The sequence below is a fragment of the Homo sapiens genome, chromosome 4 (genome assembly GCF_000001405.40).
Source record: "Homo sapiens chromosome 4, GRCh38.p14 Primary Assembly".
In the NCBI taxonomy this organism is placed as follows: Eukaryota; Metazoa; Chordata; class Mammalia; order Primates; family Hominidae; genus Homo; species Homo sapiens.
In genome coordinates this window covers 157,720,587-157,732,599 of record NC_000004.12, presented here as the reverse complement: position 1 = coordinate 157,732,599, position 12,013 = coordinate 157,720,587, and positions in this window count along the sequence as shown.

Here is a 12,013-nt window from a genome sequence, read left to right as displayed (position 1 = left end):
AGAATCCCCTATGATCAGTTGACAAAGGAAGAGAAGACTAGAGCCTGGTTCACAGATGATTCTGCAAAATATGCAGGCACCACCCAAAAGTGGACAGCTGTAGCACTACAGCCCCTTTCTAGAACATCCCTGGAGGACAGTGGTGAAGAGAAATCTTCCCAGTGGGCAGAACTTCCAGTAATGCACCTGGTTGTGCACTTTGCGTGGAAGGAGAAATGGCCAGACGTGCTATTATATACTTATTCATGGGCCATAGTGAATGGTTTGGCTAGATGGTCATGGACATGGAAGAAGCATGATTGGAAAATTGGTGACAAAGAAATGTGGGGAAGAGGTGTGTGGATGGACTTTTCTGAGTGGTCAAAAACTGTGAAGATGTTTGTATCCCATGTGAGTGCTCACCCATGGGTGACCTCAGCAGAGGATTTTAATAATCAAGTGGATAGGATGACCCATTCTGTGGACACCACTCAGCCTCTTTCTCTAGCCACCCTGTCATCACCCAATGGGCCCGTAAACAAGTGGCCATGGTGGCAGGGATGGAGGTTATGCACGGGCTCAGCAACATGGACTTCCACTCACCAAGGCTGACCTGGCTATGGCCACTGCTGAGTACCCAGTTTGCCAACAGCAGAGACCAACATTGAGCCCTTGATACGGCAGTATTCCTCAGGGTGTTGAGCCAGCTACCTGGTGGCAGGTTGATTATATGGGACCTATTTTATCATGGAAAGGGCAGAGGTTTATCCTCACTGGAATAAACACTTACTCTGGATATGCATTTTCCTCTCCTGCACACAATGCTTCTGCCAAGACTACCATCATGGACTCACGAAATGACTTATCCACCATCATGTTATTCCACACAGCATTGGATCTGACCAAGGCACTCACTTTATGGATAAAGAAGTATGGCGTGGACTCATGCTCGTGGAATTCACTGGTCTTACTATGTTTCCCATCATCCTGAAGCAGCTGTATTGATAGAACGGTGGAATGGCCCTTTGAAGTCACAATTACAATGCCAACCAGGTGACAATACCTTGCAGGGCTGAGGCAGAGTTCTCCAGAAGGCTGTGTATGCTCTGAATCAGCGTCCACCATGTGGTACTGTTTTTCCCATACCCAGGATTCATGGGTCCAGGAATCAAGGGGTGGAAGTGGAAGTGGCACCACTCACCATCACCCCTAGTGATCCACTAGCAAAATTTTTGCTTCCTGTTTCCGTGACATTATGTTCTCCTGGCCTAGAGGTCTTAGTTCCAGAGGGAGGAACGCTGCTGCCAGGAGACACAACAATTGCATTAAACTGCAAGTTAAGATTGCCACCTGGACACTTTGGGCTACTCCTACTTTTAAGTCAACATGCTAAGAGGGGAGTTACAGTGTTGACTGGGGTGATTGACCCAGACTATCAGGACGAAATCAGTTTACTACTCCACCACAGAGGTAAGGAATAGTATGCATTGAATACAGGAGATCCATTAGGGCATCTCTTAGTATTAACATGCCCAGTGATTAAGGTCAATGGGACGCTAAAACAGCCCAACCCAGGCAGAACTACAAATGACCCAGACCCTTCAGGAATAAAGGTTTGGGTCATTCCACCAGGAAAAAAAAAAATGACCTGCTGAGGTGCTTGCTGAAGTCAAAGGGAATACAGAATGGGTAGTGGAAGAAGGTAGTCATTAATACCAGCTACTACCACATGACCAGTTGCAGAAACAAGGACTGTAATTGTCATGAGTATTTCCTTCTGTTGTTAAAAACACATTTGTCCATGTGTACACTTGTGCTAAGGAAAATCTTCATTTTATTTCCCTTTTCCTTTATCATGTGACATAAGATTTATTGACTTCATATCAGCATTTAAGTATTGTTAACTTTATATACTAGCAATTTGATTGGGGATTGGTGCATTCCAGTTGTGTGAATGATAGTTGTATTATGTTAGGCATAATTATGACCATATTATTGTCTTTATTTGAAGATTATGTATGATCTCAGGAGATGTGTATGGGTTCAAATTGATAAGGGGTGGATTTGTGATAGTTAATACTGAGTGACAACTTGATTGGATTGAAGGATGCAAAGTATTGATCCTGGGTGTGTCTGTGAGTGTGTTGCCAAAGGAGATTAACATTTGAGTCAGGGGGCTTGGAAAGCCAGACTCAACCTTAATCTGGGTGGGCACCATCCGAGGAGCTTTTTGGCTCCTCAGCTTGCAGATGGCCTATTGTGGGACCTTGTGATCGTGTAAGTTAATACTACTTAATAAACTCCCATATATATAGAACTATATATCTATATTATATAAAGATATATCTATATATAATGTACTTTCCTCAGTTTTATTCTTTTTTCTCAGAATGGATTTGGCTATTGTATTAGTCTGTTTTTGCATTGCTATAAAGAACTATCTGAAACTGGATAATTTATAAAGACTAGATAATTTATTGAGAAAATTGACTCACAGTTCCATAGGCTGTACAAAAAGTGTGGCTGGAAAAGCCTCAGGAAACATATAATCATAGTAGAAGGCAAAGGGGAAGCAGGCACATCTCACATACTGGATCAGAATGCAGAGAGCACGAAGGGTGAGGTGCTACACACTTTTAAACAACCAGATTTGTGGTTACCACGAGGCTTGCAATTAACATCTTATAACCCATTATTTTGAACTGATGACCACTTAACATTGATTACAAAAACAAACAAAAAACTAACAAAAAAGCAAAGAGAGCAGTAATAAAAACTATACACTTATGTCATCCTCCATATGACCACCACCTGTTTATTGCCAATGTTCACTCAATGCCCAGGGGTTCTTTAATCAGCAGGTTGATAATTCAGCCAGGCTTGTGTCCTATCTTTTTAAATTCGGTTGTATCTATTTATATCTTATTATATAGTCTGTGTCTTGAAAAGTTGCTGTAGTTATTATTTTTGGTAGACTCATGTTTTAGTCTTTCTACTCAAGATATGATTAGTTTATCCACCACAAATGCAGCGTTATAATATTCTGTGTTTGTGTACTTACTATTGCCAGTGAGTTTTGTACCTTCAGATGATTTCTTATTGCTTGCTAACATCCTTTTTTTTCAGATTGAAGAATTCCCTTTAGCATTTTTTATAGAAAAGGTCTGGTTTTTATAAAACCTCTCAATTTTTTGTTTGTCTGGGAAATATTTAATTTTCTTTCACATTTAAAGAATGTTCTCACTGAATAAACTATTCTAGAATGAAAATATTTTTCCTTCAGCACTTTAAATATGTCACGCCACTCTCTCCTGGCTTGTCAGTTTCCCACTGAGAAGTCTGCTGCCAGAAATATTGGAGCTCCTTTCTATGTTATTTGCTATTTGTTTCCTTGTTGTTTGTTTTAGGAGCTTTTCTTTATCCATGAACTTTGGGAGTTGGATTGCTAAATGCCTTCAGGTAGTCTTTGGGTTAAATCTAATTGTAGTTACATTTGACTCCTATGCTTAAATATTGACACCTTTCTTTAGGTTTGGAAAGTTCCCTTTGAATAAACTTTCCACCCTGATCTCTCTTCCTACTTCCTTTAAGGCAAATAACTCTTAAATTTGACCTTTTGAGGCTATTTTATTCCTCTTGTAGGTGTGCTTCATTTTTTTAAATATTCTTTTTACTTTTGTCTCCTCTGTGTATTTTTAAATAGCCAGAGTTCAAGCTCACTCACTCTTTCTTCCGCTTGATCAATTCTGCTGTTGAGAGAATCTAATGCATTTTTAGTATGCCAATTGAATTTTTAGCCTCAGAATTTCTGCTTGGTTTTTAAACATTATTTCAATCTCTTTGTTAAATTTAACTGATAGGATTCTGGACTCCTTTTCTGGGTTACATTGAATTTCCTTGAGCTTCCTCAAAACACCTATTTCAGATTTTCTGTCTGAAAGATCACATATCTCTGTCATGCTTGGATTGGTCACTGTTTTATTTCGTTCATTTAGTGAGATCATATTTTTCTCCATGGTGCTGATACTTGTGGATGTACATCAGTGTCTGGCCATTGAAGAATTAAGTGTTTGTTGTAGTCTTCACAGTTTGTGCTTGTTTGTACCCATCTGGGGAGGGGGGGGCCAAGCACCCCTGTGGCCACCACCACTGGAACTGTGCTGCATCAGACCCGAAGCCATCACAGCTCTGGGTCTCACCCAAGGCCCGTGGTGACCACCACCTGTTTATTGCCAATGTTCACTCAATGCTCAGGGGCTCTTTAATCAGCAGGTGGAGAATTCAGCCAGCCTTGTGTCCTATCTTTCAGGGTGGTAAGCTCCCCTCTGGCCCACGGCAGGTCCCAGAATGCTGTCTGGGAGTAGGGCCTGGAGTCAGGAACCTTAGGAATCTACTTGTTGCTCTATTCTACCACAGCTGAGCTGGCACTCATGCTACAAGATAAAGTTATTCCCATTCTTCTCTCTATTTTCCTTATACAGAATGAGTCTCTTCCCATGGCCTGTAGTAATTACTGCATAGCTGCCACCAATGTTCACTCAAGGCCCAAAGGCTCTTCAGTCAGTCAACTTCTGGTGAATACTATCAGGCCTGGGTCTCTCTCTTCAAGGCAATGGGCTCCATTTTGGCCAAGAATGGGTCTAGAAGGGCCATTCAGGGTATAAGCCCTGAAATCAGGGATCCCAGGAGCCCACTTGGTGCTCTATACCACTGTGGTTGAGCTCGTACCCAAGATGCAAGACAAAGCCCTCTTTACTCTTCCCTCTCTTTTCCTCAAGCAGGAGTCTCTTCCCATGGCCACCACACCTGGGAATGTGCTGGGTCATAACTGAAGCTAGCACAGCTCTAGATCTCACCCAAGGCTCATGGTGAGAAGTGTCTGGGTGCCAATGATGTTTATTCAAGTCCCCAGGGCTCTTTAGACAGCAGGTGATAAATCGTTCCAGGACTGGATCCTTACCTTCAAGGAAGCAGGTTCCCTCTGGCCAAGAGTATGTCTTGAAGTGTTGCTGGGGGATAGGGCCTGGAATAGGGGCCTCAGGATTCTGCCTGGTGCCTTATTCTACTGTGGCTGAACTGATATCCAGTTTGTAAGAAAAAGGTCTCTTTTCTCTTCCCTCTCCTTGCTTCAAGGGGAAGGAAAGGGTCTCTCCTGGAGATGTGAGCTGCATTGTAGGGGGTTTAGGAAAGGGGTGGTGCAAGCGCTCCCTTGGCCACGCTGGCTGGTAACTCATTAGGTCATGTGCATTCCAAATCCACTGGCTGTGAGCCCAGCACAGCACCAAGACTTGCCCAGGATTGCAGGCCTTGTGGAGTAGACTGCCTTTCAAGTTTACTTAGAACTCTAGAGCACTTTAGCCTCTGGTGGTAGGGCTTGCTGGAGCTTAGGTTTCAACTGCTATGATGGGCAATTCCTCTTTGACTGGGTGAGTGATTCCTCTCTGGCCTAAATGCTTCCTCTGTGGGCACCAGCTGAATTCTTTCCTTTGTTGCTTTCTGCTCTGACAGGACAGCACTGAGTTCCAATGTGAAGTTCCACAATCACTGTGATCTCTCTCTCCTAAGCATACAGATTCTCTCTGCATGCAACATGACCTCTTCCAGAAATGGGAGAAGGGTGGTGTTGGCAATTCAAAACTGTCTTTACTACCATTTTCAGTGTTTCTTTCTTTAATATGATGTTAAAAGCAGGTGCCGTGGTTATTCACTTTATTTTTGATTCTTGTGAAGTTGCTTCCTTGTATGGATAGTTGTTCAATTTGGTGTTACTGCCAGGAAGATGATCGCTGGAGGCTTCCATTTAGCCATCTTGGTACACCACCTCCCATAGACACTTTTTGTTACGAGAATTTTAGCTGTGGATGAGCAGAGCAGTTGTCAAGGAATAAAAATTTTGTAGTCATCGTCCGGTCCAGCTTCCCTGAAGTGAACATAAACTGCTTGCACAAAATGTTTATTAAACCAATCAGAAAAGATGTCCCTGGTGATCCATGCCTATTTGTTAGCATATGAACACATTGGTTAGAAATTTGATTTTTAAAAACAAAATACCCAAGCTTTTGCCTATCACAACAAGTTTGCACTTACGCATGCCTGCCATATTGGTACATCCCAGTACAGGTATTCTGTCCTTGTCATCTTTAATTCCTGTAGGGGCTTTCTCATCAGCTGTAGTCAGTGTCTTTCTGGGCAATAATGATTTTTAATTAGCCAAAAAATGATGTTTAATTAGCATCATGGACTTGTCCTGATATCAGATTTTTTTTATCAGCAATAACCTTGGCAAAGTCATCAATGAATTTCTCTGCAGCTTTATGATCAGCAGATGGTTTATCACCACAAATCTTTAAAAATTTAGAGCTGGTCCTTTCCTTAAATCTCTGCAACCAGCCTATTGAATATACATGATTGCCTTCAATTTTCAGTTCATTGTCATAAATATTTGCTTATTTCATGATTATCCTACCATTAAGTGGCATGCCTTTTCTGTTATGCTGACAGATTCACACCTTCGATACAGGATTTATATCTTTATCTTTAGTTTTATGCAGTGTTTTTCTATTTTTTATTAACTTCCATTAATCACTTTCAGTATAGAACTTCAACAGTGCATCTTTCTGTTTCTTCAGGTCATATGTGATGGTCATTCCAACACCTTACTCTTCTGTAAGACATTTCACATTTACACTACTGTCCAGTTTCTCCAGTAGTTTGACTTTCTGTGATATAGATAAACATAAATGCGTCCTCTTTTCCTTATCATGGTTACCCATAGGTGTATATGCAGGCTTTTTTTTTGACATTTTCAACAATATCTTAATGCTACAGAGCAGAAAATAATAAGAATGCAGTGAGTAATGCATATATGTCTTGGCCCTATGTGAAGTATTTTGGGGAATCTGCTGTTGGTGTGCCCAGCCTGTGCATACTACTTTATTACCCTTTGTGGGGAAGTCTGAGCTATGTAGAAAAGATACATGGAAGCTGAAGGGGATAGTGGAAGGGTATTTTTCCCTTAGGGATGTTGGATAAATTGTGTGTTGTTCACCTGTGTTTTGACTGCAATATGTCATATGAGGTCAAGTGTGGAGTTTTCCACTTATGGCACTCAAGCACTCAAAAAGTTTTGGATTTTTAAGCATTTCAAATTTTTGGACTTGGAATGCTTAAACTATGTGTGTATGTATATCTCTGTGTGTGTGTGTGTGTGTGTCTGTGTCTGAGAGAGAGAGAGAGAGAGAGGAGATTACAAGGAATTTGCTCATGTGACTATGAAGATGGACAAGTCCCAAGATCTACAGAGTGAGCCAGCAAGCTGGAGACCAAGGAGAGTGAATGGCTTAATTTCTCTGAGTCTTAAGGTCCCTACAAATCAGGAGAGTAGATGGTGTAGTTCCTATTTGGAGGCTGGTAGGCTCAGGGCCCAGGAAGAGCTTGTATTAGTCCATTCTCACGTTGCTGCAAAGATACTACCCAAGACAGGATAATTTATAAAGGAAAGAGGTTTAATTGACTCATAGTTCTACATGGCTCAGGAGGCCTCACAATCATGGTGGAAGGTGAAGGAGGAGCATGCCTTACATGGTGGCAGGCAAGAGAACATGTTCAGGATACCTCCCTTTCATAAAACCATCGGATGTCATGAGACTTATTCACTATCATGAGAACAGCATGAGAAAGACTTGCCCCAATGATTCTATTACCTCCCACCAATTCTTCACCATGACATGTGGGACTTATGGGTGCTACAAATCAAGATGAGATTTGGGCGAGGACACAGCCAAACCATATAATTTCACCCTGGATCCCTCCCAAATCTCATGTCCTCACAATTCAAAACACAATCTTGCCCATCCAACTGTCCCCCAGAGCCTTAACTCATTCCAGCATTAACTCAAAGGTCTAAATCCAAAGTCTCATTTGAGGCAAGGCAAGTCCCTTCTGCCTATGAGCCTGTAAAATCAAAATCATGTTAGTTACTTCCTAGATACAATGGGAGTACAGGCATTGGGTAAATATAGCAATTCCAAATGGGAGAAATTGTCCAAAACAAAAGGACTACAGGCCCTATGCAAGTCTGAAATCCAATAGGGCAGTCATTAGGCCTTAAAGTTCCAAAATCATTTCCTTTGACTCCATGTCTCACATCTAAGTCATGCTGATGCAAGAGGTAGGTTCCCATAGTCTTGGGCACTCTGCCGCTGTGGCTTTGCAGAGTAGAGCCCACCTCCTGGCTGGGCTTTCATGAGCTGGCATTGTATGTCTGTGGCTTTTCCAGGTGCACAGTGGAAACTATCGGTGGATCAATCATTGTGGGGTCTGGAGGACAATGGCCCTCTTCTCACAGCTCCACTACGCAGTGCCCCAGTGGGGACTCTGTGTGGGGGCTCTGCACCCACGTTTCCCTTCTGCACTGCCCTATCAGAGGTTCTCCATGAGGGCTCCACCCTTTCAGCACACTGCTGCCTTGACATCCAGGCATTTCCATACATCCTCTGAAATCTAGGTGGAAATTTCCATGCCTCAATTCTTGACTTTTGTGCACCCACAGGCCCAGCACCACATGTAAGCTGCCAAGCCTTGGAGCTTGCATCCTCTGAAGCAATGGCCTGAGCTATATGTTGGCCCCTTTTAGCCATGGCTGGGACACAGGGCACCAAGTCCTGAGACTGCACAAAGAAGCAAGGCCCTGGGCCCAGCCCACAAAACCATTTTTTTCTTCTATGCCTCTGGGTTTGTGATGGAGGGGGCTGTCATGAAGACCTCTTGCATGCCCTGGAGACATTTTCCCCATTGGCTTGGTGATTAACATTTGGGTCCTCATTACTTATGCAAATATCTGCAGCTGGCTTGAATTTCTCCTTGGAAAGTTGGTTTTTTATTTTCTATCACATTATCAGCCTGCAAATTTTTCAAACTTTTATGCTCTGCTTCTCTTTTAAACATAAGTTCCAATTCCAAACCATATCTTTGTGAATACATAAAATGGAATGCTTTTAACAACACCCAAATCACCTCTTGAATGCTTTGCTGCTTATAAATTTCTTCCACCAGATACCCTAAAGTATCTCTCTCAAGTTCAAAGTTCCACAGATCTGTAGGGCAGGGGCAAAATGCTGCCAGTCTCTTTGCTGAAACATAACAAGAGTCACCTTTATTCCAGTTCCCAACAAGTTCCTTATCTCCATTTGAGATGAGTAGCATTTGGTCAAAGCCATTCAACAAGTCTCTAGGAAGTTCCAGACTTCCCCACATCTTCCTGTCTTCTGAGCCCTCCAAACTATTTCAACCACTGCCTGTTAGCCAGTTACAAAATCATTTCCACGTTTTTGGGTATCTTTACAACAACACCCCACTACTCAGTACCAATTTACTGTATTAGTTCATACTCACATTGCTGCAAAGATACTACCAGAGACTAGGTAATTTACAAAGGAAACAGGTTTAATTGACTGACAGTTTGGCATGGCTGGGGAGGCCTCACAATCATGGTGTAAGGCAAAGGAGGAGCAAAGTCACATCTTACATGATGGCAGGCAAGAGAACGTGTACAGGGGAGCTCCCCTTTATAAAACCCTCAGATTTCTTGAGACTTATTCACTAACACGAGAACAGCACAGGAAAGACCTGCCCCCATGATTTAATTACCTCCCACCAGGTCACTCCCATGAAAGTAGAAATTATGAGAGCTCCAATTCAAGAGGAGATTTGGGTGGAAGCACAGCCAAACCATATCGGAGCTGATATTTCAGTTTGAGTCCAAAGGCAGGCAAGAAGTCCATGTTCCAGTCTGAAGGCACTCAGGCAGGAAAGAATTCTCTCTTACTTAAGGAAGGCTCACCTTTTGGTTCTATTCAGGCCTTCTACTAATTTTATGGCCCCACCCACATTATCTGCTTTCTTGAGTCTACCAATTTAAACGTTAATTTTATCTAAAAACATTCTCACAGAAATACTCAGAAGATTGTTTGACCAAATATCTAGACACCTACTGTCTTGGTAAAAATGACACATTAAATTAACCATCACAGACTCTAAGTAGAAGTGGGTGGTAGTCATCAGTCACAGTAGTGTTTTCTGCCAATTTATATTTGCCATAATAAGCAACAAAGTATCATTACATAAGTGCTATTCATCTATTTGAAAACATTTATTGGGCCCCAATAAATATCATAGATATGGAAAGTTACAGAATACTTTGTAACAATAGAGTCAGTCTTGGGATATGACTGGATGGATATATGGCTAGGACAGGAATAGACATGCAGGCATAGGGAATAAGTGTCCTGCCAAAGTCTCTGAGACAGGAAAAGAACTTGGTCAATAAAAATGTGGAAAACTGCCAATCTGGTGAAGCACAGTATAAATCACATTAAAGATATGGATCTATATTCTAAGGAAAATGAGAAGAAATTGACAGCTTGAAGCATAAGAGTAACATACCTAATTTTTATTTTTGAAAGGCCATTCTAGTGTCTATATGGAAAATAGACGATATAGGATCAAAATTGGAGGAATTAAGTACAGTTATAAAAAGACAGTGGAGATATGGACAATAGCAGAGATACAGAGAACTGAATACATGTACAAATAAAAGAAGAATTGATAGCACTCAGCAATTAATTGGATTTAGGGTAAAAAAAAAGGAAAGTGTCAATAGTGATTCTTGCGTTTTTTGGTCTAAGGAGCTGTGTAGATGGTATTACCACTTGCTGAGATGTAGACCCTTACAAGAGAAGCAGATAAGAATGAGGGAGATCACAAATGTGCTGTATGAAGAAGTTCCTGTTCACTGTGAGATATGGAAGTGTAAATTCCTTATGGTAGAGATAAATACATGAATCCAGCAGTCAGCAGAATGGTTTGGCTTTGTACACATATATCTGGATGGGCGGTATTAAATATCATGAGGATAAACGAGGTAACCTAGGAAGAGTACAGAGTTAGATAAAATGGGAAGATAGACTGAGCCCCGAGAAATATCAATATACATTTTTAAATAAGTTAGAATAAACTCTATAAGAGCTGAGAAGAAGCCATCAAAGGAAAACCACGTGAATGTGGAGCAACAAAGGGAAAATGAAGAGAATGTCTTAAGCAGGATGGAAAATAATAATAATGATAATGGCTGCAATAACATCAACAATATAAACTAAACTGCACTATTTACCAAGTTTCAGGCCCTTTACTAATCACTTTATAGGCTTCATCTTGCTCAGTCCTTACAAAACTATGTGAGGTCGGTTTCATTATTATCACCATTTTACATGTGGTATAATTGAAATTTCAAGAAGCTAGTCCTTTTACCAAAGACACTGGAAGTCTGACTTTACAACTCTCATCCTTAACTACTTAGTTATGTTAACTCTCCAATGTGGTGAGTGATTATATTTAGGAAAATTTTTATTTGTAACAGACAAAACACAACTTCAAGAAAATAGGGGATTTATTTGGAAATGTTTGTATTATAGCTTCAAGTGTGGTGATATCTAGGGACAGAAAAACACACACACATACACACACACACACACACACATATCAGTTGGTCCTTTTCTGACTTTCAGTTCTACCCTCCATTGTAACAGTGCACAGAGAAATAAATAGGTGTGCAGAAGGATACAGAAGCCAGAAACCAAGTTAATGAAGATCTTACTGAAGCATTTGTCCTTTATATTTTGATCCATTCTCTAGGTTGACAAATTCTTTTCAGAAGTCCGTAGAAAAGGAACTTCTTGCTTCATGGTCACTAAGTCAAAATCAGTAGCATTAATGCTAATGGAATTCAGTTAGTTCATGTGACCTCCTACAAATTAACTACAGATGCTAAGGATATTGTTATATATGCTTCAATTAATCAGGCTTGGGCTACCTGTTGCCCCCTAGACCTGGGGTGACCCTCAATTTAACTCCACATAGACTAAAAATGACTGAAGATGTTCTCACTAAGATAATACATTGTAAACTGTCAACCACTCTGTTTCTCAGGCATCAAGTCAGATGGGGATTTAAAAGTGTCTATTAAAAATAGCACCAG